Source organism: Homo sapiens, chromosome 3 (assembly GCF_000001405.40).
Source record: "Homo sapiens chromosome 3, GRCh38.p14 Primary Assembly".
Classification (NCBI taxonomy): domain Eukaryota; kingdom Metazoa; phylum Chordata; class Mammalia; order Primates; family Hominidae; genus Homo; species Homo sapiens.
In genome coordinates this window covers 50466907-50494182 of record NC_000003.12, presented here as the reverse complement: position 1 = coordinate 50494182, position 27276 = coordinate 50466907, and the positions used below count along the sequence as shown (strand labels likewise).

Here is a 27276-nt window from a genome sequence, read left to right as displayed (position 1 = left end):
ATGGGCATTTCTCCTTTCTCTCTGTGAGCTGAGTCCGTGGTGGGTGTGTTAGGGCCCTGGGAGTCTTTGTATCTCTCCTTGGACCCCCCGCCAGGCTTGCTGGAGTGTCTCCCTTTTGGGCTAGCTGGGACCTTGCACCCCAGAAACCTGCCATGGGCAGAGCCCCACTTCCCTGGCTAGCCCCTGAGGCCTTGCCTGGGCTGACTCCAGCCTCCGGCCCTGGGACTATCTGGGACACTTGAAGGTCCTGGGAAGAGCTCTGGCCTCCGCACCTCTGGCTTTCGCTCACTGCTCACCGTGTCCCTCTCCAGGCTGCTGGCTTCGCCCAGGGCCCTGGGGCAGGAGCCTTCCTGACCAACACCCTCCTCCGGCTCCCTGCCCTTTGTGAGTCCCTCCTCCAGACCCGTGCCCCGCCTCCAGCTCTGTGCCGGGTCATGGGGCCCTTGAGGAGTAGGCATTGAGCTGACTGCGACCCCCTCAAGATCTGAGTCTGAGGAGCGCATTTGGCTGCCAACAAGAGGCTGCTTCTGTGCTTATCATGTGTGGTGGGTTTTCCTCATGGTGGGCCCTTTATCCCCTGACAGGGAGCCAACAGGTGTGTGATGCGGCTGCTGGCAAAGACCAAGTGGTCACCTGTGCTCAGCCTGGTGGCCTCGCTTTTGGTGTAACTGTCTGTCCTTGGCCAACTTACTGCATGGCAACAAGATGGCTGCCACAGCTCCAGGCATCATCTGCAGACCCAGGTACTAGGCATGGAAGAGATGTCTCCTCTGGGTTTCTCTTAAGAGGGGAGGAAACCTTGCCCAGAAGCCCCCAGCCGACTTCCTCTCACATCTCATTGGCTGGCACTGAGTCACATGCCCACTCTGAACCAATCACTGGCAATCTAAACAGTACACTGTGATTGGTTCCGGCTAATCAGGATTTACCCTTGAGCCGAGGATGGGGTCACCTTGGGCTGGAGGTGGAGATTCTGCAGAAGGCAGGGAGTGATGGAGGATGGGGAAGCAGTGTCGGCTGCAGGGTCAGAGGAGAGGCTTGAGGGTGGGAGTTGGGGCCAAGGAAGAAGCAGGAGATAAGGGGATGGGTGACCATGCCAAGGAAGTGTTTGTAAAGGAAGTAGTTGTTTTAACCACATCAGTCACTACAAGCTGGGCCCCCGGTGGTATATTTCACACATGTTAGGTCAGTCCATTTTTATCCTACTTTCATAGATGAGAAAAATTGAGGCTTAGCCAGGCTAAATGATAAAATCACACAGATGGCAAGTGGCAGGGGCAGGATTCCCCCTAGTGCTCGGGTCCAAGCACTCAGCCCTGTCCCACACATCCCTCCTGCATCTCACCTCCTCCAGGCAACCCCTAGCCACAGGACCTTCAGGGTGTCCCTACACTCCCATGATGTTCTGCCATGCATCTCCCTCTGCAGAGGCTGCCCTACTGACCAGGCTGACGTCCTTGGAGGGTTTATTTCTCACTCGGCCTGTGGCGCCTCCAGGTTCCTTGGAACCACCCAAGGACCAGAAGTAGGAGATTTTTGGCTCCCAATCCCCCTCCCAGTAGAACAGCCCCACCCTTACTTGTGTCATGGATGTGGGTCAGTGAGAACTGTGGGACCAGTTGGTCCCGTTTAACTCCCGTGTGGTACAGATGGGGAAACCGAGGCCTGGAGAGGGACACTTCCTTCGGCCTCTCAGCACTTGAGGCATAGACTAGACCCAAACCTGGGGTTTGGGGGAGCAGCCACTGCCCTCAAGTTGCCGTGCTGTGCCAGTGAGGTTTGGTCAGTCAGAGGCCTGAAGGAGGCCATTCAGGCCACGTCCTGTCTCAGGCAGGGCCTAGGCAGACTATTTAGGACAACAGCAAGTTGCGGGTTCAGATGACGTCTGAAGATAGTGCTGGCATGAGTGGGCTAAGAGGATGGCCAGAGGGGCATGTCCTGCTGCTGTGAAACAGCGCAGCTGACCTGGCCTTAGAGGGCCACAGCCACGGACGTAACGCATAGACATGGCCGTGGGGAAGGCCCAGACTTGGCTGGGTGCTGCCTGTGAGACTTCATTCTCATCTTGCGGGGAGGGTGACTTCAGGGTGGGGTGTACTTGCCTATAGTGGGGGTATACTTTTGCCTACTCACTGCAGAGGACTGGGTGTCATTGGTCAGCACCCAATGGTGAATATGATGAGATCCATGCTCCACTGTGGCCAGGAACCTAGCCCTTCCCATTACTCTCTGGCTCTGTTCCCTGCACCAATCCTGGGTCTGGGCTGGACAGTGTCCAGGAGCCAGTCAGCCAAGGGCAGAGGTCTTGGGGTAAGCCCTGGGCTTTGTCCTGCTTCTGGATTGGGTACCCCTCTGGCCAGTGTTCCCCACCTGTCACATGAGGAAAGAGGGATCTCTGGGGCTGTCCAAGGGTCAGGGAAAGGAAGAAGCTGGCCTCTACAGGCCACGGCTGTGAGTCCCCCGACTGATAGTCCTCCCCTGATCCGGGTCTCTTTCTGGGGCTTTCTCCCAGTCACATGCTGGAACTGGTGGTGCTGTCGCCTGTTCTCACAGAGTAGTCAGGCAGGGCAGTCTGAACTCACTCTCAATTCTCCCACCTCTCCATCCTTCACTCTCCTTTTTCCGCCCCACTCCATGCCCACCTCACCCCCTGGGCTGTGCCTAGCAGTACGTGGGCAGAGCAACTTGAGGGGAGGGAGGCAGCATGTTTAATTGTTTAAGCCACACCTTGGCTGGCGCAGGCCACAGAAGCCCTAGGGGCTTGTACAGTAGGGTCTGTGGGCCTCCCCTTGGCCCTTCCTCTTCCAGTCTCCTCCTAACCCGCCTTAGCCTCACTGTGATAGTCTGGGCAAGCCTCCTGCCGTCCTCCTCCGAGCCTCAGTGTCCTCACTGTTCTCAGCACCCTCCATAGAAAGGGATCCTTCTGCAGCTGACAGTGGTGCTCCCCCTGCCACCTCATCTGCATAACTGTCATCTCTGTTCTGTCCTTTCCTGTAACCGGTGCTTGTGGAGACCTCAGCAAGGAGGCTGCTTCTGATGGGCACGGGGAGGGGCACAGAGTGGGATCTCTGCCCTCAGAACTGAGTGCCCAACAGAACAGAAGCCATCTCATTCCATGGGGGCTTAACAAGCACCTGCAAGCACTCAGCATGGAGGAAGCTGGGGAGAGGTTGGATGGGCTGCCGAGGGCCCTGCCAACCCCAGGCAGGACCCACCTGTTGTCCCACTGACCTCTGCCTGTCCTTCGGTGCTTGGCTTGGAGTCACTGTCCCCTGAAACCTTCGCTGACCTCCTTGTCTGGGTCAGAGGCCTCCTAGCCTGCTTCAAGCCCCTGTCCTCCCTATTCTTGTCCTGAAATAGACCTTGCTGCCTGGCTGCTCAGGGACTATGTGGCTGGGAGGGGTGGGGGCAGTGGCTGGTTGCCCTTGGCTGGAGCTCCCAGCTAGCATACACCAAGTACTCAATCCATATGTGCTGAACAGGGAGCCCATGGTCTGTGCAGGTGTCCACAGAGCCAAGCTCGTCATGACTGTGGAAAATGGAGCAGCCTCTTACACAGCAGCCTGGGACAGAGCCTGGCTTTGCTGGAGCCAGAGGGCATAGGCCACTCCCACATATCTTCCTGTGGCTTTTGCAAGGAGTTTTCCCAGCCCAGGGGCTGCCACCAAGGGCTGCTCTGGGGAGGGAAGTAAAGGGGGTGTCCAGAGACCCACTGACCTGTATTATTTAATGGGGTGGGAGGCAGGGTCCAGGCATTAGCATGTTTTCTAGAGCCCCCTCTTCCCCCTAAGTTGAGCCAAGGTACAGAACTGTGGCCTTAGGGGATAGGAAGATAAACACAGGATCCTCACCCTCTGCCCAGCAAGGGGGCACTGAGGCTCCCAGGGTTGGGGGATGGTGTATATTGGTTCTGAGCAATGTCCTAACCATGGTATCTATGGGAGCCAGCTGAACCCAAATGCCTGTGCATGCAGCCAGTTGCCAAAATCTGCAGCTTGTCCCAGGGAGATCACCTGGCTTCCCAGCCGTCTGCCCCGCTCCTTCCAAACCGCTCCTCTGCATAGACATTTGCCCATGCCCCATCTGCCCTGCCGCCCACTCCACAGCCTGCCCATCTTTCAGGACCTGCTTCCTGACCATCCCTTCCCCACCTGAATCCACTCCCACACCTTAGCTGTGTGTTGCCCTGAGTGGGCTCTGGGGTCTCCAAGGGCCAACTGGGTCCCTGCTCTTGGGACACTCAGTCCATGGGGGAGATAAACAGTGAAGAAGACATGGGAGTGAGGCCAAATAAATAACACCATGCATGGTTGGTGCTCCAAGCAGCATCCAAGGGGCCATGAGACATCCTGCTCCAGGCCCCCAGGCTCCCCTGCCATTCCCATGGCCCTGGGCCTCCCCAGTCAGGGTGTGGAGGTCCTGGGGAGATCACCTGGACACATCTTTCTCCATGGATAAGCCATTGATGGGGGGACGAGGTAAGGGGCAGGAGTTGAGTAGGGGAGAGGCTTGCCTTGCATATAGATCCAGCCCCAGCCCCAGCCCCAGCCCCAGCCCCAGCCCCAGTTTTGGAGGCTCCCGGCAGCCCCACCGCTGTCTTTCTGATGCGCTTCCGGGGCTGCTGCTCCCCTGGGCAGTGCCTCCTAGCACTTACCATGCCTTGGGCTGCCCAGACCTCATGACTATGGCCCTGCCTGTCTGGCGCCCCATAGCCCCATCTTCCCTGGCACAGAACAGCTGGGGAGGGGGTTGTGGGGAACAATCCCAAAGGCCATTAAGCCTAGTGATTTACACGGTTCCTGAGCCAGCGCGGGGGGAAGTATGTTTCACAGGTGATTTCCAGACTGGTGGCATATGGAGGAGGCCATTACTCTACAATGAAGAAGGATGGGGACTTCATGGGGCCATCTAGAAGGCCCTGGAGCTGTGGGCCCTGATGCATATGCCTGCTGTGTGGTAGAAAGCCTGGTTCTGGGGATTATAAAGGGAACCCCATATGTGACCTTGTTTGTGCCCCAGTTACCTCATCTTTATGATGGGATCACATTTCCTATGTTTCATAGTTGTAAGGATGGAACATCCAGTCATTCAGCCAGCATTTTTTGAGCACCTTCTGCCTGTCAGGTGCTGTTCTCAGGAGATGATGTTCTAGTGACAATATCTGTGTCAGAAAACACCAGGAAGGACGTGCGCGGTGGCTCATGCCTATAATCCCAGCACTTTGGGAGGCTGAGGTGGGCGGATCACAAGGTCAGGAGATCGAGACCATCCTGGCAAACAGGGTGAAACCCCATCTCTACTAAAAATACAAAAAAATTAGCCAGGTGTGGTGGTGGGCGCCCGTAGTCCCAGGTACTCGGGAGGCTGAGGAAGGAGAATGGCATGAACCCGAGGGGCGGAGCTTGCAGTGAGCAGAGATCACATCACTGCACTCCAGCCTGGGCAACAGAGCGAGACTCTGTCTCAAAAACAAAAACAAACAAAAAAAAAACACCAGGAAAATGGCGAAAGCTTTGCACTTGTGGGCACTTCTTGCTAGGGGGGTGGTAGAGGGGCTGCAGCAGGCGGGAGCTCCCATGGAGCTGGGGGAAGAGGTGTGGGGGGTGGGGTGGGTAATAACAATATCCCCAGCCTCTAATGTTTGTTGTGCTGAGCCTCAGTACTCTCTGCTGCCCTCACCCTGGGGTCAAGATTGCAAGATACAAAGTACAGGGCAGTGTCAGGATGCCGGGGGGAAGAGGCTCTGCACCCGGGCCCAGTTGTGATGGGTACTGGTTTGTTTCTGTGGAGTGAATGAATGAATGAATGAATGAAATCAGCTCCTGAGAGACTGAGCTCCCACTTAAAGAGGCCCAGCTTCCCTGGGCACAGCCGTCTCACTGCCCTTCCATCCAGTGTGTGGAGGTGCTCCCATGTACTTGAGGGTAGGAATTCTGCAGGCCTCGGTGTGGGAGCAGCCTGCCTTGGTGCCCACGGTCGGTCTGTGGGTGCTCACGGGGCATCACTGTGTGTGGAGCCCACTGCTGGGCCTTGCATATGTTGTGCCCTCCATTTGGATTGCCCTCCTGCTCTGTGGTGCCACCTTCACCTGGCCAGTCCCTAGGCCAGGTCAGGCCCCTTCCCATGCATCCCATGCATCCCATGCATCCTGTCCCCAAGGCTTGCTGGACTCTTCTTCTCATCAGGCCCCAATCCGGATCAGGTATCAGCTTCCTCTGCTTGGATTCCAAGCTCCCAAGGACAGGCCTGCATCTGCCCTGCTTGCTGCCAAATCCCTCCCAGGTGCCCATAGTAGGTACATGGTTACTATCGGAATGAATGAATGAGTGAGTGAGTGACTAGGTGGGGAGTGAGCGAGCTAGTTGGGAATTTACAGAAAGTTGGAAGCACCTGCAAAGCATTTTGCCAGTAATTTGACCTGCTGGTTCAGCCACCTGCCTCTCCTTAAGCCAATCATGAGGCTCACCAGGCAAGGTGGCTTCTCTCGGATTGGGGAGGCTAGAAAGGTGGGGTAGCTGGGGCTGCACTAGAAGCCCCTTGCTTGTGCAGCTGTGGATCCCTCACAGCCTGCAGAGGGGATTTGCTTTGCTAAAGGAGTCACCACAGAGCACCCGAGAGTAACAGGTTCATGGCGTGTCAAGGCAGGTTGAACACTCACATTCCATTTACATACAGCTTGGCGCACTCTAAGGGTCCAGGCACTAGCAAGAAGCAGATCCCAGAGGAAGTGGGCATTCTCCCCATACCTGGCTCAGGCTCCCTGGTGGGGGCATTGGAGGGAGCTGGGGCTCTGCCCTGCTGGCCAACGTTCCTACTGCAGGATAGCCCTGATAGGGTATAAGGAAGGACTTCCCCATTGCACTCAGCTTTGGCTTGCTTGTGGAGGCAGTGAGTTCCTGAGGTAGCCCCCTTCTCAAAGTTGGAAAAGGCTGTATACGAGGGGCGGCTCTTACCTGCAACCTACTTCCTATTTGGCCATTGGAGTCCCCCTTGAGGTTAAGGAGGCCTGACAGCCTAGGGGACAGGGCCATGGCTGAGTTGACTGGGTTCAGATTGTGGTTCAGCAGTGTGGTCTCGGGCAAGTTGCACCATTTCCACAGGCCTCAGAGTGCTCATCCGTGAAGTGGGCATGAACTGGCCTGCGCCTGGCCGAGGTACCATCGCTGCAGTGGAAATCACATGGAGTGCCCAGCACGCAGGCCCTCCGCGTCAGCATTGCCTTTCCCTGGTGCTTGGCTGCCTGCTGAAATGGGGGCCCCTTTCCCAGCCCTGTCCTCCAGCCTGTCTTCTACTGCAGAGTGAGGTGGTCAGGGCAGGCCAGTCTGGTAGGCGGAAGATGTTCTGGTAAATTTATCTCCAAGTGTTTCCAGAACTCTTTTTGGCCAGGCTCCAGGCTAAGCTCTGTAGGAAGCTTGATGATGGGACTAGGCTGCAGCCCCAGCCTAAGATGAGGCTTGGTAAAGTGTGGTGAGAACTGTGGCTTTGAGAAGAGGGTAGGGGAAACCTAGGAAAGCTTCCTGGCAGAGGTGACTTGGCCAGGTAGAGGAAGGACAAGCCCAGAGAACAAAGCTGGCCCTGATGGGTTGAGTTCTGTCTTCGCTTGGCCTCTCCTCTGTACATGGATGTCCTCGGGGGGCCTGTGAGCTTCCACAGAGGATTTTGCTCTGAGGGGGACCTTGAGGGGGTCTCTGTCTTCTTCAAGGCAGGAGGCCATGTTGAGGACTCATACAGAGGACAGCTATTTGTGGCTTAGCGAGGATTTGACTCATGCTGGGGGGTGGGGAGGATGTGCAGGAGGGGAGATGGGGATGTGTGAATCACAGAATCTGACCAGAATGGTTGGTGACACATGGACAGGGTCTGTCCTGCCACCTCTAGTCCAGCTTCAGCTCCTGGTGTGGGGCAGGAACAGAAGGCTGTAGCTCCTGGGTTCCTCCCTGACCCATTTGGTGACCTCCACAGGTGTCCCAACCCTACTGTGCTCTCTGAGGTGAGGCCTGGGCGTGGCTCCCCCATTTCAGCACTGGCTGGGCACACAGGGACTGCAGCAGTGTTCACCTCCTGAGGGCTGATCATGCTGAGCCTCAGCTTACCCGTTTGTGAAATGGGCCCGGGCAGGACTTCTGTTCCCATCGTGCCTGACTACCTGGGGAATGTGCTGGGGAGAGGAGGTGTCGCAGACCCCAAAATGCCCATAGTCTGTGTCAGTGGCCGGGGTGGGTGGTTCCAGGCTTCCTGGAGAACCCTGGATCCACCTCCTGGATTCCTGTCCCCGTGCCCCTGGTCTGGACCCTTTGCCTTGCCCCTGGGAGGCCCGGGCTTGTTTGTTAGTGCCTCTCGCTGATTGCTATATCCCAGCTCTAGACTTCTGAGAAATTATCAAACAGTGAAAACTGGTGCTGGCACCTTGGCGACCCCTGAGCCTCAGTTACCAGGGCAGTTGCTGGTTTTACCCCTGGCCTCAGGAAAGGGTTCTCCCCCGACCCCTGCATAGTGAGCTGTAAGTGACTGTTACCATGTGTGCCTGCCTGTCTCCGTATCCTAGGAGTTTCTCAGCAGAGTGCAAAACACAGGAATAAACTGAGTGCTGGGTGGTGGGAGCTGCTGAGGCCCCCATGGGCCCCGAATCCAGATGCTTCAGAACAGCCTCAACGTTTATAATGATTATTTACTCAATACGGAGTCATGTTTTACAGCGCTACCTTCTAAAATACATTTATAACTACCTCACCAGTTACATATTAGGGTTCCACATTGGATTTTGTTGGAAAAATAAAAGGTGAATGATCTTGCTGCTGGAGCAGTTTGAAAACCACTAGGGTGGCTCAGTTTTGTCAGTCCACAGATGGGAAATCAAGCCACAGACAGGGGAGTCAGTGAGCCTGCGCAGAGCCCATGGAGTCTGGCTCCGGGAACCAGAACCCAAGTGTGCAGGAGAGAGCTCCATGGGGGTGAGGGTAGGGGTGGGTGCAGGTGCTGGGTGGCTGGTGTTTAGGGACAGGGTGGCAGAGATAGAGTGGAGGACAGCCCAGTTCTGGGTCACTCTTCCTCAGCACTTTCTTCCTGCTTCCTGGAAGAAGTGGCTGCTCTAGCGCCAGGGCCTTCTGGGAGAGCCATGAATTATGCACGGAAGCCACAGGCCTGGGCGGGCCCATCATAAACGAGCCTTAATAATTCATATGGAAAGAAGCCAGGGGAAGGGAGGGCCTCCTGGGCCAGCCCTGGGGCAGCCACCATGCTGCCAACCTCTCCGCAAGCTCCCCCTGCCCACCCCACCTGCCTACCCCATGGCCGGCCACACACAAGCTGGACAGGAGGGCTGGGACGTCAGCAGGACTCTGGGGAGGTATATTCACTCAGCAAATGGCCTGTTCTTCCAGGCGGGAGAGCAGGAGCCTCCTGGCTCAGGGCTCACAGCCCAAGGCAGAGGCTAACAAGCAAGAGGGAGGATGTCTGATGGAATACTAGCCAAAAGAATCACCCCAGGAGGGGACGTGGAGATCAGTTGCTGCTGGGGGGGGTGCAATTTCAAATGGAGGGGCAAGGAGGTCTTCACGGAGCAGGTGACGTGTGTGTGGAGACCGGAGGGAGGTGGGAGGCCCTTGGACTTCTGAGGAGAGACAGTTTCAGGCAGAGGGAACAGCATGTGCCGAAGCCTGTGCAGGGACTATAGGGGCATGTTCAGGCCACACCGAGGGGTGAGGTCAGGGAAGCTACTGGGGGTGCGGCCACTGGGTGGACTTGGGTTTTCTCTTAGTGCGACGGAGTTGACAGAGGAGGGACATGACAGCAGGGCACTCCAGCCGTGTGTAGAGGGGAACAGACTGGGAAGGCAGGTGCCAGGCAGAAGGTGGAAGCCGGTGAGTGAGCTGGCAGCTGCAGAGGTGCAGGAACCCTGATGGGTGCCCGGCCAAGGAGGCAGTCGGCAGTGGGTGGATTCAGGCCTATTGCAAAGGTGGAACCTGTAGCACTTGCTGATAGATTGGATGTGGGTGTGAGAGAAAGCGGGTTCTAGGTCACCCAGAGTCTTTGACCTGAACTGAGGGAGCTGCCATCAGCAGAGGCAGGGAGTGGGGAGAAGAGGTGGAGACGATCCCAAGGGACCGTCAGGATCTCGGATCTCGTTTCGGACACTTTCAGTTTGAGAGGCCCCTTAGCCACACCCGCAGCTGGGCATTGAAGACTGATGTTCTGAGTTGAGGTATGTGCGGCCTGACGGGTGTTTGTGACCTCTGTGACCTGGAGCACATCTCTCAATTGCTCTGTGCCTCGGTTTCCCTCTGAGGATTGCGGATAGTGATCTGGCTGCTATGCAGATGAATTAAGGCAGTGCAGTGAGATCCCTGGCCTGTCACCACTGGCTCAGGCCTCAGGCAGGGAGGGCCCCCATCAGACCCCTTGAGATATGGATCCCTAAATGGTCCATGGAGGCCTCAGGCTACCACTCCTTGGTTAGAGAGGGAAACTGAGACCCGCAGAGGCCAAGAAGCAGAGCCGAGTGGGCCACCTGGGTATTGCTGGGTATTGCTGCTACCTGGCTCCAGGCTGTGCTGCTTCCCTCCACTCCCCCCAACCCAGCAGGCTGCTATGAGTAAATATTGGGCTGGACCTGGTGCCCTAATTAATGCCGGATGATGGCTCACTGTTAGTCTGAGGGGGAGGCACAGACTGCTGCCTCCCAGCAGAGCACCAATTAGAAGGAAAAGCTCTTCTCGGCAAAGAAAGGGAAGGGATAGCCCCGTAATTAATAACCTCATGAAGGACCAGGAAGTATCTGGGCAGGGTCCCAAGGCACACATGGTCGAGAGAGATGGCTTTGGACCCATTCATGCTTTGGCAACACCTGCCCCTCCCCAGCTCCTCAGGGTCTCCAAGGTCCCTGTGCTAACTGGGCTGCCTTGGTTCCTGTGTGCATGCAATGAGTGGGTGAGATGGGGACGGTGCTCCTGGAGGCATCATGCTGCTCATTCTAGGGTCCCTTCAACTGAATCACAAATAGATTGAAGATGGGCCAGCCCCCCTTGAGTTCTGTGCCTTGGTTGTGCCAGCTTGTGAAGTGGTAGGTGGCTAGCTGGGGAGCCTTACTCTATCATGAATCAGCTGAGCAAGCATGCTTCCCTCTCACTCTGGGCTCAGTGTCCCCTCTGTGGTCTTTGTAGTGTGAGGCCAGTGCTGATTTGCCACCACATCTGAAGGCACTGTAATCTTGTGGCCCAGGTGGCCTCTGGGGAGTGAGTGATCTCGGCTAGACTGTTGCCCTCTGCCAGCCCTATCATCCTTGGGAGGCCCTGCCCTGGGCTTTGAGCCCCCAAAGCTGCTGAAACCTGAGAGTCTTCTCTTTTGCATGGACAAGCAAGAAGGAAGGTCTGGTCACAGGAAACCCTGCCCTTCCCCAGGGCTCCTTGGACAAGGCACCCCACCAGGTCTCTGCTGCATTGGGTCTCTGGGGGCAGTGCAGAGAGGGGCTGCAGCCCACCTGGAGGCCACAGTCTAAGGAGGAGGCACAACCATCCCATGTTTAGGGAGCTGCAGGCTTGAGGAGGGAGGCTGGACTGTGGTGAGAGCAGTCCCACCTTCTGGATGGACCTGTGTGCCATGAGTGTGTGGGGCAGCCGTCACTGCTAGCATCCCACATGTGGGGCTGTGGTTTCCACTTAGCTCCTCTTTGGGTCCTTGGAGGTAAAAGGAATGGTGAACTTTATCTCCATTTTCCAAATGTGGAAATGGAAGCCTAACAGGAAAGGTCTAGTTCAAGGTCTTGCAAAAGCCAGGGCTGGATCTAGGCACTCAGTACACTAGGTACTGTACACTCAGTACACTCAGGCACTAGGTATAGAGGGACATCCACCCGAGTGGTCAGAGAGGACTCCCCAGGGAAGGTGGCCCAGGAGATGCCACCGTCCTGGAGTGCACCCTTGAACTTCCTGCTGTTTGCAGCAGGGCGAGGGCCTAGGGGAGGGACCAGCCTTGTTCCAAGCCCTGCTTCAGCTGCTTTCTGAGCTTGGAGTGACTGCTGGGGGAAGCACGCCTTCTCCAGGCTGGGATGGGGGAGTGGCCTGCTTGCCTCTCCACCCTGTCTTTCCCCTTCAGAAGACTGCAGAGGTGCTGAGGTGGGAGGTAACAGGCCAGTGGAAATAACCAGAATAATTAAGTAGCACTTTATATTTTATAGTTTTTATTTTTATTTTTTGAGACAGTCTCGCTCTGTCACCCACGCTGGAATACAGTGGCATGGCCTTGGCTCAGTGCAGCCTTGACCTCCCAGGCTCAGCGATCCTCCAACCTCAGCCTCCCGGGTAGCTGGGACTACAGGTGTACGATACCACACCCAGATAATTTTTGTATTTTTTGTAGAGACAGGGTTTCACCGTGTTGCCCAGCCTGGTCTCAAATTTCTGGGCTCAAGCAAACTGCCCGCCTGGGGCTTCCAAAGTGCTGGGGTTACAGGGGTGAGCCACCATGCCCAGCCTGCACTTTATTTTAAATTGTTGCCTTCCCCAGAGCTGGGAGAATAATTGGCCAGCCTATCATGAGAGAAGCAAGAGACGTGGGGCCCCGCCATTGCCAAGTTTGCTTCACCGTGCACTTGGCAGCAGTGGCCTTCACTGTGCCTGCTCCCTCACACTGCTCACCTGCCCCAGCCTCCTGCTGTCCTGTCATCCAGCCCTCCTGCTTCCCCTGCTGCCCACCCCTAGTATCCACCCCTCACTCCCTCACGAAGCGCAGCGGCTGAACTGCCAAGCTGAAGGGAAGGCCACAGACTGATTATAGGTGCCCAGTGGAACAGGGTTGATCCAGACAGGCCATCTGGGAGAGGCAGCAGGGCTTTGATGACAAAAAATGCCTCCGTGTGAGTGGTAAGAAGGCCCACAGAGGCAGAGCTCGGGTGTTCCGAGCCCCTTGCTCCCTACCAGGCCTTGACCCTTCCGGGGCCTGCCCCTGTCTGCTCTTGAACAGAGCCCCTCCCCCATCCTTTCTCGCCCCTCTGCTGGGTCCAGCTGCCCACACCCACCCGTGCCCTCTGAGGGTGAACCTGCTGTGTCACCTGTCTCTGGTTTTTTGATTTGTTTAATTATAGATGAGTTTTCTGCATAATTTATTCCAAAAGCCTGGATTATACTGTACAATTAAATCACATTCTGATCAACAACTCCACATATAAAATTAACAACTGGCAACAGTTTAATCTATGCTGCTGCATCTGCACACGGACTCTTCTCCCTTTTCCCCATCCCCTCCTCCCCCTTCCTCCCCCTTCCTCCCCCTTCCTCCCCTTTCCTCCCCCTTCCTCCCCTTTCCTCCCGTTCCTCCCTGTTCCCGTTCCCGTACCCATTCCTCCCCATTCCAACCCCCTTCCTCTTTACCCTCCCCCTCCCCTGAGCATTTGCAGCTGCCCCTAAGCTGGAAGCCCCCACCTGAATGCGATGCAGTTTGACATGCAGCCTCCCCCAGCCTTCTAGCTGGGGTCTCAATGATCCTGTCTGCTAAAGGGGTGCTCAGCTGCAGCTTCTCACCCCACGCACAGATGATGTCACTCCCTTGCCTGTTAGTGATATCCCCTCTCCCTCCCCAACTCCTCTTGGTTCTGAACCATGCCCTGGAAACCAAGGCCTGGCATCCTGCAACTCAGGGTGTCATCTTCTTACCTGCAGAGCTGCCTCAGCCTGCTAGGCCTCTTCTGCAGTGCCCCCTCCCCACAAGCCTCCCCACCCCCCACACAAGCTTTCATAGAAGATGTCCTGAGCCCTCAATAAGTCCTTAGGTCTTAGGGGAGGGGCTGTATTGCATGAGCTGCTAGCCCTCAGGGGACTGTCCAGTAAAAGCCTGTGGATTTGACCATTAAAAACTATTCAGCCAGTCATTATTACCCCTGTTTACCGATGGAAAAGCTGAGGTTCTGAGGGACAGAACTCTTTGAGGTCACACAGCGGCAGAAGTGCCTTTCCCCTGAGGCTTCCCAAAGGCTACAATGTCCTGGAAAGATGGGATCATGGAATAGATGGAGTCAGGACAAGTCTGTTTCTCTTTAAGTATGTGACCCTGTACCCATCCTTACCAGGGGCTTCAATTTTCTTGTCTGGGAAATGGAGCCACAATGTGTTCACCTCCCTAGGGCTGGGCACATTGGAGGACGTGACTTGATCCCTAGTCTCTTGTGCCCACACCAGTCATTAAGCCACTGCAGCCCCTAGATGCCTACATCTCCTCCTGGCCACTCTCCCCTCACTGCCTTGTTAGTTTGGCACTTAGAAGCAATTAGGGATAAGCAGTGTCATCTCAATGAAAAGCATGGAAAATTACAAAGATGTGGGGAGCCAGCAGGTCCACCTCCGTGTTGGGTGTGTGGCCTGTGGGCAACATTGTCTGGTCAGGGAGGCATTGGCTGAGCCAGGCACTTGATTCCAAGCAGAGGGAAGTCTGGGCAGGATTTGATCAGCTTATCTTTGACCCAGTGGGGGCAGGGACATTCCCATGCATCCGTTGTCTTTCCAAGGCCCCCTCCCTTCTGCTGGAGTGAGTACGATTCCCTGGCCAGGGTTGGACCTGGCTTGGTGGGTGGCTTCTCGTCCACAAGGCAGGAACAGTGCAGGTGCATAGTCAACTCCTGGCCCCCTCAGGGCCTCTGTGTCACCCCTTGGAGGTGGCACTGGGACACTGGCGAAGTCCTAGAACCCACAAAGTCACATCTCTGTGACAATGGAATGAATTATTTTCTTTTAACTCTGAGACACACATATTGCCTCCTAATTGAGTTTGATTTAAGTGAATAATCAAAGTAACTTGTTTTCCCTGGCACTGTGCTGATGGGCAATGTGCTAGGGCTTGGGGTCTGCCCAGCAGGTCCAGGATGCCAGGCAAAGGGCTGGAGCCACCTCTAGACCTTGGGAGGACATGTGTGTGGCCTGCTGTGTCATAGCAGGCCAGTTCCTGCAGCCCATAGCAGAGTCTAGAGCTACTCAGCCTCAGGGTGGGAGTAAGGAGACTGTGCGTAAGAGAGAGAGAGACAAGGAGGGAGGGAGAGTGAGCGTGTATATCTTGGGGAAGGATTGGACTTTATCCTAAGACTTGGCTCTTCTAAAAATTATTTTAGTGTTGAAATAGCCTTTTTAGATGAAATGATGATGATTATAATAATGTGTTGTCTGAGCAAAATAAAACTTGGCATCCATGTCTCTTCTCCCAATTAATTTTCTTTTACTTAACTGTGAAATCCTAGAAGCAGGGACCTATAGACATACTAGAAGAGTCAACAGCCTGGGGTGGAATCAGTAATGTGCTGCTGAATGTTTACAATTTGTTCTCCAGGGGGAAAAACATGGTTTCTAGCATTTGCCAATTCCTGTGGTGTAAATATTCCCACCATGACCTATTTCAAGCTCCTCAGGTGATGGTACCAAATGCAGAGTTGGAAAGAGGTGCACAGAATCAGCTTTTGTGAGTCAGCTTTTGTGACTCCAGCACACTTCTAGGGCAAGTCCTGTGTTCACTACTTCCTGGATAGGTGACCTTGTACAGGTCAGTTGAACCCACTATGCCTCAGTTTCCTTATCTGTAAGGTGGGATGATAATGTTTGCTTCTTTGTAAGGACTGAAGCGAGAAAGTAGGTGACATGCTGGCACTGCACCTTGTACGTAGTGGATGCCCTCGCACATAATGAGTCCCAGGAAGGATTGATTGGCATTTTGTTCTCTACACCAGTGAGTGGCTGAGGTCAGGGTCAGGGCCAGGGCAGAGCTAATGGTTCCCTTTGGGGATCAGATCCTCACTCTGCCCATTTGTCTGCCCCCTGCCTGGCTGACTGTGATAGCCCATCCCAACATTAGCCCCCAGGGCTCCATCGCAGGAGCACAAAGGAGCCATCCGCTATGTTGTCCACCCACAACCAGGCCCTGGTGGACAGGGGCCAGGGGTCACGCAGGCTGTCAATTTTCTGCTGCCCTTTGCCCTCCCCAGGCTGGCAGCTGAGGCCTGCTTGCCCTTCTTAGCCCAGCCTGCAGCCTGGCCTCCACCCGCACTCAGGGTTAGATTTTCCCCTGTGGTGGGGAGCGGAGGAGGGAATCCGGCTGTGGCTCAGCCAGCAACAAGCCGAAGCTAATACCTCTTTCTTTTGATGTTGATTTTTTTTTTTTCCATCATGGTCCTGACATTCAGCTTGGCAAATTGCAATTAGTGATCTGCCTGCCTCCTGCTCCGAGTTCCCATGCCAACCGACCCAGGCACATACAGTTGCATGGGCCCAGCCCCTTAGTCACAGGCCTGAGTGGAGGAGGCAGGGCAGGAGGCCAGGTAGAGGCTTGGGCTCTTCTGATCCATGGAGCCAGAACAGTCCTGGCCCAAGTGGCACTGGAGGAGGCAGCAGGCCCAGGGAGTTGGGACCAGATGCAATCTCCTGTACCCCATGGCTCCCGGGGTACCTCCAGAGGCTGGGGGGCTGGCATCACCCTGCCCCTACTGTACCCTGTGGGCTGTGTTTGACCCATGGCTTATTTAAATCTTCATGGTAACTTTTTTGTGCGCCCTTCCTGGAAAGGTCTTGGTCTGTAAAATGGGAGTGTGTCAAGTGGGATGGAGAAGTTGAGATACCTTTTCAAATGCATGAGGGCAAAGAGCACCTTTGTGGTTCTGTGTGGTTCTCTCTGGCTGGCCTCTGGCAAGGTCTAGTGTGGTTTTGCTCGCCTGATCTGGCTCTGCTTAAGGGAGTGGGTCATGTATCTGAACCCAGGCAAGGCCTTGCCCCAGACTCCTTCCTTCTTCCAGGTTGTGGGTCTGAGAATAGAGGGCCACGTGACCAACTGTCCATCCTGTCCACTCACAAAGATCCCCATGCAGCGAACACGCTTGACTTACCTATTCTCATGTGTTCTTATAACACCCTGAAAGGTGGCCCCAAATTATCCCCGTATTCCAGAGAAGGAAGCTGAGATGGAAATGGGTTAAAACAATCCCAGGGTGGGCCGGGCACGGTGGCTCATGCCTATAATCCCAGCACTTTGGGAGGCTGAGACAGGCGGATCACAAGGTCAGGAGATCGAGACCATCCTGGCTAACACAGTGAAACCCCATCTCTATTAAAAATAGAAAAAAATAGCCAGGCGTGGTGGCGGGCACCTGTAGTCCCAGCTACTCTGGAGGCTGAGGCGGGAGAATGGCATGAACCCTGGAGGCGGAGCTTGCAGTGAGCAGAGATCGCACCACTGCACTCCAGCCTGGGCGACAGATCGAGACTCTGTCTCAAAAAAAAAAAAAAAAAAGAAAAAGAAACAAAGAGCAATCCCAGGGTGGTACCAGTGTGAGGGAGACCTGCTCAGGATGTGGCTCAGGTGGATTGTGAGGCAGGATGGTCTGCAGTGGACTCCTGAGTGGGTGATTCCTGCTGGACATCCAGCAATGAGCCTCGGGTAAGCGTCTGTCTACCAGGGTGTTGGATAGGCAAGGGCTGCCTAATCTGGAACTCTCCACGTCCACTGCTCAGGTGAGACCTAGAGGGGCAGGGACCTGCCCAGTTACACAATGACTTGGTGACAGCAGTGTTCCGTCCCCTTCTCTAGGCCCCACCTGGCCTTGGGAACAGGAGGCTCCAAGATCCAGCAGACCTCACTCCCTGAGGCTCCCTCATGTCTCCCTCCTCCCTGGTGTCCAGAAGTCCCCAAGTTCAGAGCAGCTACATCAAGGGCTGGCTCTTCACAATGAAAAGTAGCCTCACTGCAGGCTTCTCTGAGCTGCTGAGCTCCCTCAGCACATCCACAATGCAATCCTCTCTCCTCCTCGCCACCCCACAGTGCATGAGGAGCACCTGGGCCACTGGGTCTGGACTTCAAAGGGGAATCGCAGGTGCTTGCTGGTTCCTTGCTGTGGGTCCTCCTCTAGTGAAAATTGGGGTGTGAGTGGATAGTTGCCCCCAGTGCCCCCGGGTTGGCTGGGGTGGGGCTGTGCAGCTCTGGGCAGGCCCTCCTGACACCTCTCTCCTCTCTCTGCATACAGGATGCAGCACTGGGCCCGGCGTCTGGAGCAGGAGGTCGACGGCGTGATGCGGATTTTTGGAGGCGTCCAGCAGCTCCGTGAGGTGAGCCCGGTGCCACTTGCTGTCTCTTCAGGGACCCTCTTCCAAGGGAAGGGGAAAAGCTTCAGAAATAAGGAGTGAGGAAGATTTGGTTTAATGGAGGTCCTGGTGTGGTGGGACCTGATGGGCCCGTGGGGGCAGGTGGGACATGACTGGATGGGCAGCACTCCTCTGGGGCCTGGCCTGCTCTTCCTGAGGCAACGATCGGAGCCACCACCCGGCTTGGACGATGACCCTGTTGCTGAAAGGGATTTGGAGCTTTTTGGGCTTTCAGGAGGGAGAGGTCTGTGTCTGAGGGACACCTGGGGTGGGAGCCCAGGCCCAGGAGGGGTCAGTGGACGCAGGGGTGCACAGGAGCTGAAGGGATCCAGGAAACAACGGGATGGCCGGTCCATACCAGCCCGAAAGCGGTGCTTGAGGTGCTGTAGCAGGAGACAGTGGAAATCCCATGCCTGGTGGGATGAGGGATCAAGGTGTGGGAGGGGTGATTGATTAGGCACCAGCCACCACATCCATCCTGGGAGATTATGTTAATGTTTGAAATAGTGATGTGAAGAGCAGGCCATCCATCACCCCCGGAAGCTGCAAAATGTGCTGCTGTCAGGCCCCGGGCTCCTGAGCCATTGCTCTCTACGTGGAGATGCAGAGGCTGGGAGGGCCGAGCTCTTGGAGTGATGGAGCTACGACTCTCGGGGTACGTGCAGTCTTTGAGGATCTTGTTGCCGGGGGCTTGGGCCAGGAGGTACTGACCAGAACTGAGCAGGGGATTAAATGGGGGTCTCCCACTGAGAGTTGGCTCGGGAACAGCAGAGTAAGCCAACCTACTGTTGCTGGTTCAGTCAGGAGTCCAGGTCCAGGGTTTGGAGATTATATACCCACTGTGTTCCTGTTGTCCCTGTTGGTCAGGGCCAGGGTCAGCAGATGTAACCTCGGTGGGGCAGGGACCGTAGGGGTTGTCCTCAATCCCTTCCTCATGCTTAGCTTATAGCTGGTGCCCAGGAAGTGGGGGTGGCAGCCAGTGTGTTGACATTGGGTGTGAATGTAGGACCTCTGGCACAGGCTGGGGCTGGTCATGGGTGGCTAAGTACGTGGCAACGCCGTGGGAAGGGAGAGTCCAGGTCTGGAGGTCTGTGTCCTCCCTGCCAGTGGCCCAGCGACACTAAACACCCCTTTCCTGGTTGCTGGGCTTGGATGTCAGCAGCCTCCATCACACTGTCTTCCTGTGAACTCTGAATGACTCAGCCGCACTTGGAGGCCAGCAGAGCTTTCCAGAGAAAGTGCTGTAGAAAAAGCTGTTCCGGAACAGGAGTCAATTTAGGCTCAGGAATAGCACCCAGCACTAACCAGGCTCCAAGTAGCCACTGCCAAGGATAGCTGTGTGGGCTAATGAAGGAATGATAGCTCCCTGATGTGTGCAGCCAGCACCTTTCCAAGTTTCATATCGGGACATAAGCTATACCACATATCAGGAGTTAACGGTACTCCTCCAGTCAATAATCCTTCATGCCTCAAACCTTTAGCTTGAAGATGTTGTTTATTTTATATTCACGGGCAACTCAGGCTCTGAATGTCTGGCAATGAGAAAATAGTGTTCATACGTCATGGCCGAGGTCTGTCTGGACCAGTGAGCTTGCTAGATTCTGAGAACCAGAGATGGAATCCCAGCTCAGCGTACCATCATGTGCCCCTGGGTGAGCCTGGATCCTCTCTGATCCTCATTCTTGACCCATACACAGCTGGGAAGTCTGACCGGAGGATGAAGTGGTGAAAACAGCAATGGACAGGCTGATACAGATACGCCCCTTTTTTGGAAATCAAATTTGAATTTCCCTCATTGATCATTTTCACTCCCAGGGATAATTTCCCTTCCTTTCTCATGGGACTTGAGAGATTCTAGACACTTTCATCAGTGAGCCTGTCTCCCCCACCCTCTCCCTCCCAGCAGTCACCAAGGTGGTCATGCTGCTGGCTTGTAGCAGAGCTGGGGCATGGACCCAGGGCTCCTGACTCCTGTTCCAACGTGCAGCTCCGGCTGTGGCTCCACTTCCCCTCTTGGTAGGGTGGACAAGATGAGCCTGGGGCAGTAGGGAGCTGGGCCAGAGCAGGGCCGTGCTCAGCGTGGCAGGCAGGCAGGCAGAGAAGTGCTGACCTGGCATCCCCGGCTTCTCCTGGCACTCTGGTGGAGTGTCTCTGCCTGCCGATGGCTGCCAGCGCTCCAGCGGCTCTCTGTCCTGCTCTAGTTTTCCTCCTCTGCTTCTTCAGCCTCTTACTTCCTGCCAACAGCTCTGGGGCTGTTTCTTGGCACGGGGCACTCTGGTGAGGTGGGCGTGGGGGTTGGGGGTTGAGGTGTAGAGTTCTAGAGGAAGAGGGCAACCCTGTGGGAGCAGGAGGAGCCAACCAGTTTGCTCCCTAGCCCTCCACAACTCACCCCTGACCCCGACTGAGCCACCATTGCTCTCCAAATGCACACGAAGACGGTCCATGTACCCAGCCCATACCTGGCTCTGATAGGTCAGGAGGATGCTTGGAGAAAAGCCCTGGCCCAGCTGTGATACTGCTGCAGACCCTGGCACCAGCTCTGCCAAGCTGACAGCCTTGGCCCCCAGTGGGGCTGCCCCTCCTCAGCCCTCCTTGAGCTGATTCTGAATTGCCCCCAAACAGCTGGGGTGATCTGGCATCCAGGCCCCTTGGCCTTCTTCCCCTCAAAGGCTGCCCAGCCTGCGTGCCTCCATCCTAGAGGCTGCCCCACTCCCAGTAGCTTGGAGCCATGAGGGCTGGCAGCTGCCAGAGTGCAGAAACTGCAGACAGTAGCGTTTGGGGATGTTTTCCTTGCCTTGGCACTTTCCTCCTCCTGACCTCACCATAACCCCCATGAGGGCATGGCTGGGTGCAGGCTGGCCCATTTGCAGGTTGAAACTGTGGCATACTTCTGTGGCATGTGGGCACTCCCTGTGAAGACCTCATCTCATTTCCTCATCTAACATCGCAGCTAGTGCATAGCTGGAGCTCTCCTTGTGGCCTGGTGCTTACGTATTGTCCCCACCCCCACGCTTGTCCAGACACCCTGAGTCGCATCCTCCTGGGTTCCCCAGCCCAACTCCCCCAACCCGTGGCCCACTCTTGCCCTCAATAGGCCACAAAAGTATAGACCCTACTGTGATGTCCCCCTGCAGAGCCCCTAGGGCCTGAGCAAGGTGTCTGGAGCCTCTTTTCTACCCTCCCACTTCAGCACCATATTGTCCCATCCTGGGGGAGAATAGAGTGCATATGCTTGGGCTCTGAGCTCATTTACATAATGAGGTTGATCAGGATGAATAATTCATCAGGTGCCTGGGGGTGCATGGGGAATGGGGGTGGGGAGGATGTGGAGCTGGGACAGGTCTCCCCTCTCTGAAGCCCAGGTCACTCTGATGGGTACAGCCAGGAACCTGCCCTCTTCTGGCTAGGTGTCTAGGGTCCAGGGGGAGCAATGCTGGGAACCTGGTGGGAAGGCAAAGCAGGAGAGATTATAGTCAGACATGATGAAGAATCAGTTGGCTCCTGAGGCATGCCAGCCCCGGGATGCATTCCTGACCTCGGAGAGACACCTTCCTTGGAGGATCTCTATAGAAGGAGGGAAGCTCCTCTGCCTGGGGTCGGGGCTGAGGCTAGAGCTGCCTGGCCAGAGCTGGGCTAGAAGCAGGAACCCGAGACAGCCATGTTTGGAGGCCACAGGCTACCCTCTGGGAAGGCTCAAGCCAATTCTGGACCCATGGAAGCCTTTCCCAGTCCTCATCAACCACTCATAGCTTGCGCGCTGGTCAGGGCAGAAATGGCATACGGCGTGACCCATGTCCTGCCTGCCTTAACCCCATGATGGCCTTAGCCCAGCTACATGCTGCTAGTTATTCCTGTGATCCTGTCATACAAATGGGGAAACCGAGGCCCTGGCTGCTGTCTCCACCAGCCAGTCTCATAATGGATCCCTGGCAGGTCAGCCCTGAGTGGTGGTTGGGGAGCTGTCTAGCAGAGGAGCTACCCGGGGCCGCCCCTCCCCAAGACTGCTGAGCCTGCATTCACAGAGAATGGGACCCCAGGACTTGGAAATCCCCAACCTGAGTCTTTTGTTCCCCTCCCACTTCTGTGCTTCTCTGGACAGTCATGGTGATTCAGATCAACGGTGTCTGTGTGTCTCCATTTCTTATGGGTAGCCAGGAATGGCATTTTCCAACCAGTGACAGCGGCACAGTCCTACTCCATCTACTCCATCTTCTCTGCCCCCAGCCATCTCTGTGCCCTGTCTGCTCAGCACTCCTCAGGAATGTGTAATTAATATTTGTGGAGTACTACATCTGGAGCTGGCTCCCGGCACTGACCAAAGTCTGGCCATGTCCAGGGCCACTTTCTCGAGGGGCTCAGGTAGGTGGGACAGGGCCACTCTGCAGGTGCCTTTGAGACAGGCCTCCCCCTGTCCCCTTCCACCCTCCACCTCAGCCGGCACCACCAACATCTGAAACACATGCACACTCACACACTGACTCTGGGGGTGCTGGCTGAGGCTGAGCTCTGTTACCATCTAGGGAGGGTACACTCTGGGCGGGTGCCCTCTGGGCATCCAGAGTGGGATTAGCAGTGCCCACAAGTGCCAGGGAACCTCAGAACCTAAGAGGGGCTGGAGCAGAAGAGGAAGAAGGAAGCTGGTGGGGAGGGGCGCCCAGAGGGCCAGGCAAGAGGAGCACAAGAAGCTGTCCCCCCTAGACCCCACAGAAGGTCCCCTCACCAGAGCACTGTGGTTAACATGTGCCCACAGGAGACAGGCATGCAGCTCCTTGGCCAGGTCCCCCACTGGTACAGGCTGTCGCACTGACGCACCGAGAGTCAGGTGAGGGGTGGCAAGCATGGCACAGCCCCTCTGCAGGGCTCCCGCAGCCTTGAAGCCAGCATCTCCAGGCTCTGCACTTGCTCATCACGCAGCCTCCACCCCTCTACCCAGCCACCTCCTGTTGAGGCCCAGCGGTGCCCTCGTCTCCTGGTGTAGATGATGGGGATGTGGGGCGCATCAGGGTGGGGGGCAGTGGGGAAGCGCGGGTGTGAAATATGCCGCTGGATAGGGATTGCTGTCGCTTGCCTCCCTAAAAACCCACATATATTATTCTTTAATGGAAAGTTAATTGTCTTATTATTCCGTCCATATGGTCCTCTTGCTTGGCACCCAGCAGGGATGCGTGGGGCTAAAGGGGGGGCTCCCGGGAGGGCGTCTGAGACGTGGTGAGGCCGCTGCTCGAGCATAATTGGGTAGAGAGAGGCAGATGCATAGGAGCCTGACCAAAGCCCTGCCTAGACCCCCTCTGTGTCCCCCCCAACCCGGCCTGCTCTCTGCCTCTTTCCTTCCCAGGCCCAGACCTGGGGGCAGCCTCTTCTGGTACCCTTCTCCCCCGCCCACTGTAAAGTCTGGGAATGTTCTCTCTTGAGCACTGTGTGGGGAGACACAGGATTGGATGGGGAGTGGCTGTTGCCATCTTGACCACCACCCCCCCCCCCCGCCCCCTCCCCCCATATACACACACACTCTGTTGCTGGCAGGAGAAAATTCCATTTTTGAGAAGCTTTTCTAAAGCTATTTCATCCATGGCAGGCATCTGGCCTGGGCCAGCTGACTGGCTTAGGTCGCCCATATCCTTCCACACGCCCTCATCAGAGAGGGGCTGTGTGGGCAGGGGGACTGTCCTGGGATGCCTGTCCCAGGGACCCTGGCTCATGTTGGCCACCCCTTCTGTGGCACCAGCCACCTGGAGCCTCCCCCACCCCAGTGGCTCCTCCAGGCTGCTGAGGCTGGGCCAGGTATGGGTCCCCTTCTCAGTCCCTTGTTCCCTGTCAGGCCTCCTCTCTTCCTGCCCCCTGGAATGAGGGTATTGTATCAGAACAGCCTAGACAAGGTAGAGATGCAGTGGCAGGAAGGCCCCAGAGAGGCCTGGCTGCACATGGGCCCCTGGCTCCTAGAGTCCTGGCAGGGCAGCGCTGGGGCAGGGAACCCTGCTCCAAGGCTTCTGGGATTCTGAGTAGCCTCAGCACGGAGTTGCCCCCCAGGTTTCTGTGGAGGCCATGGGCACAGAGGGGCAGGTCTGTGGGAGCAGCATCTCTGGGTGGGACCAGCTGGTGGTGCAGTCATGGAGAGGGGCCTTCAGCTTCCAGCTTGTGCCAACAGGTCACTAGAGGGCACTTCCAAGATCAGTTCCCAGGGGATGGGGAACAGCTTGGAGTGGGAGAGAAGCGGTAGGAAAAGCTGTGCCTTCTGAAGGTAGGACCTGCCTGTGGTCCCACAGCTAAGGCCAAGCTGGATTTGGGTTTGAACCTAGGGCCTGTGCCAGGGGCAATAGCTGGATGGTGGGAAGTGGTGAAAGGATGAAGCAGACAGGAAGGGCAGGCACTGTGGGACCCGGGACATGTTGTCCTGCCTCTCTGAGCCTTGATTCCCTCACCTGGGAAATGGGGATCCAAGCAGTACTGTCTCACAGGGTATGTGAAGATCTCAGGGGAGCAGGAGCAAGGAACGGCTGCAGACCTAGCCCTGCGTAAGTGTGGGGTGTCTTTGTCCCATCTCCACCCCCACAACCACTGTCAATTGCCTGCCCTTCCAGAGGTTGATCACAGTTTAGAAAAGTTCACATGCCCAAGGTGTCCTTTCTGCTTGATTCAGTCCAGGGGTTTAGAAACTGGTCCCTTCATCTCTGTTGATCATGACACCTTTTAGGGACATCTCCCTAAGATGGCACAAAGGCCACCAAGCTGGGGCAGAGCTTGAAAAAATAGGGCCTGTGGACCAGCGAAGGGTACGTGATTTCTTTGGCCGGAAATCCAGGGAGCTAGCTGCAGAGATGCTGTTGGGGAGGAGATGGGCAGAGACAAAAGGAAGGGCCCCTATACCCCGGAAGACTGTGAGTCAGTTTCTCCAATCAGTCAACAAGTTGACACCTTGTCTTTCAGGCCTCATGGGCTTAAAGAAGGGGATGGACAGCTGGGCGTGGTGGCTCATGCCTGTAATCCCAGCACTTTGGGAGCCTGAGGCGGGCAGATCATTTGAGGCCAGGAGTTCCAGACCAGCCTGGCCAACATAGCAAAACCCTGTCTATACTAAAAATAGAAAAACTAGCTAGGCATGGTGGTGCATGCCTGTAATCCCAGCTACTTGGGATGCTGAGGCAGGAAAATTGCTTGAACCTGGGAGGTGGAGGTTGCAGTGAGCCGAGATCGCTCCACTGCACTCCACCCTGGGCAACAGAGTAAGATTCTATCTCAAAAAAAAAAAAAAAAAGAGAGAGAAGGGGATGGAATGGAGTAGGGAGTCATACAAAGCCACCCAACTCTGACCTGTGCCTAGATGTTGGCGTTGGGAATGGGGAAGTTAGTGCATAAGAAAATAGAGTGGCTGAGGCCAGAGCTGAGGATCGGGGGTTCTTGAGGGTGGAATCTCTCAGGATCTCTGGAAGGTTCTCTGCCTGGGTTCTCTGTCCCTCAGTTTAAGGAAGAGACAATCTCAGTGGCCATGAACAGAACCTCCCTAGGCAGACAGCACTGCTCTGCCTGGAAGATTTTAGTCGCTAACCCTTGGCTTTGCTGCAGGGCCCTTCCCTGAAGTGAGGGCCGCTCAATCCTTCCATCTTGGGGATCAGCAAGGTTTGTCTGTGAAAGTTTCCTAAAGCCACACACACACACACACACACACACACACACACACACACACACACACACACACACACACACTATTCTGATGAACTTGCTGGTTCTCTTCAGAGGTCCCTAGGGAGGCTGGCCTTACAGCAGGACAGCGGGAGATCAGTTCAAACTCAGCCCTTGCATCTTGTTGAAGAGTAGCCAGGGTCTGCTGTCACCCCAGCCGGCCTATGCATCCATCTCTGAAAAGGGACAGAGCTGCCATGTCCAGAGCCGGAGGCTGGTCTGAATGTTCGAGGGTGGGAGATGGGGCTTGGGGACAGAGGGCTGAATGGGTTTATGCTCGGCCCCCTGGGGACAGTTGACCCAATCTGCATTCCTCCCCCATCCTTCACTCCCTTTCATTGCTGGATCAGTGGCAGCCACGGAGACACTTGCCTCGGATTCATGGAGCCCCAAGCACTTGGCGGAGGCAGAGAAGTAATTGGTTCTGACAAACCACAGCCGGCCCCAGGGGCGGCAGGAGCAGCATTCCCCACAACCAGACAGGAGATGGAGGCTCAGCATGGCCTCTCTCCACCTTCTCTGAGTGTGGCTGCCCTCACCTTGTAAGCGGAGATTTTATGTTTGGAGAAAGTTACGGAGCCATAAACCTTTTCTTATATCTGTCTCCCAGCCTTGGGACCTGACAGTTCTGAACAGAGGCTGGCCTGCTCCATGGAGAGGGGGAGAGACTGAGGCAAGGGTTGGCTCCTAGGCACACCCCCTCCTTGTCTATCTTTGGGTTCTCCTAAAGCAGGGAACCAAGTGACCGACCCTTGGAGCTTGAGGGCCTGACCTCAGTATGCAAGGGTGTGCAGTCTGGATGGAGAGGCAGGCTATGCACACACGCAGGCGGGCAGGTGTGTACGTATGCCTGTGGGGTACACATGTCCATAGGTGCCCACAAGGCTGACATGGAGGAGGTGCCCAGCTAGTAACTATTCAGTAGATGGAGAAGCAAAGCGGCAGTGCTCTGAGGACTGAAAAGGGACAGATCCCGGCTCTGACTCTGTCCCATTCGACCTTGGGAACCATCTGCCCCCATGGAGAAACTGAGACTAGTGCATCAGGGTTGACTGAGCCTTGATGCCAGATGCCCTAGGAGATGTAGCAGGCATGGGGCATCTGCCAGGACTCAACCCCACATAGATGATCCCTGGATTGCTCTTTGTGAGGGTATGGAGGGCCCAGCAGCAGTGGAGAGGAGCTGGATGTGAGAGTGTGCTGGCTACCCAGATACTGGTCTGGGGCCAGGGAGGCTGGCCATTCCTAGAGTGACTTGAAGGCTTGGCCCAGGTGTGTGGCACCAGGCTAGGGTAGCAAGGAGCCTTTCTCAGGCCTTTGGGTGTCCTCCCCTTCACTCTCACTAGACCACTCAGCTTCTTCAAGTCCACTTGCCACACTCCTCACTCCCCCCACCCCCTTACAGGCCTCTTCCCAGCTTTTTAAACCCAGCCCACAGCTCCCCTCCTCCAGGAATCCCTCCAGATCAATGCTGAGGCCAGTGGTGTCTGATACTTGC

At 56.0% G+C, this 27276-nt stretch overlaps 1 protein-coding gene across 6 annotated transcripts in view, besides 4 other annotated features; it reads left to right on the top strand.

The window, feature by feature from the left end:
- Nucleotides 1-27276, top strand: part of CACNA2D2 (calcium voltage-gated channel auxiliary subunit alpha2delta 2) — a 141632-nt gene that overhangs the window by 10062 nt on the left and 104294 nt on the right. For all 6 annotated transcript variants that reach the window (NM_001291101.1, NM_006030.4, NM_001005505.3 and 3 more), the window contains exon 2: nt 17984-18065. In NM_001291101.1, coding sequence (NP_001278030.1) covers nt 17985-18065 — 81 coding nt within the window. In that variant the 5' untranslated portion in view covers nt 17984. The remainder of the gene's footprint in view (nt 1-17983; nt 18066-27276) is intronic.
- Nucleotides 278-933: an enhancer, noted in NCBI's record as "H3K4me1 hESC enhancer chr3:50530681-50531336 (GRCh37/hg19 assembly coordinates)". NCBI's record gives its function as "activates a minimal SCP1, AML or CMV promoter by ChIP-STARR-seq in naive and primed H9 embryonic stem cells {active_cell/tissue: H9 hESC(naive and primed)}" and the evidence as "EXISTENCE:reporter gene assay evidence [ECO:0000049][PMID:30033119]".
- Nucleotides 5529-6029: an enhancer, noted in NCBI's record as "H3K4me1 hESC enhancer chr3:50525585-50526085 (GRCh37/hg19 assembly coordinates)". NCBI's record gives its function as "activates a minimal SCP1, AML or CMV promoter by ChIP-STARR-seq in naive H9 embryonic stem cells {active_cell/tissue: H9 hESC(naive)}" and the evidence as "EXISTENCE:reporter gene assay evidence [ECO:0000049][PMID:30033119]".
- Nucleotides 8722-9283: an enhancer, noted in NCBI's record as "H3K4me1 hESC enhancer chr3:50522331-50522892 (GRCh37/hg19 assembly coordinates)". NCBI's record gives its function as "activates a minimal SCP1, AML or CMV promoter by ChIP-STARR-seq in primed H9 embryonic stem cells {active_cell/tissue: H9 hESC(primed)}" and the evidence as "EXISTENCE:reporter gene assay evidence [ECO:0000049][PMID:30033119]".
- Nucleotides 26272-26773: an enhancer, noted in NCBI's record as "H3K4me1 hESC enhancer chr3:50504841-50505342 (GRCh37/hg19 assembly coordinates)". NCBI's record gives its function as "activates a minimal SCP1, AML or CMV promoter by ChIP-STARR-seq in naive H9 embryonic stem cells {active_cell/tissue: H9 hESC(naive)}" and the evidence as "EXISTENCE:reporter gene assay evidence [ECO:0000049][PMID:30033119]".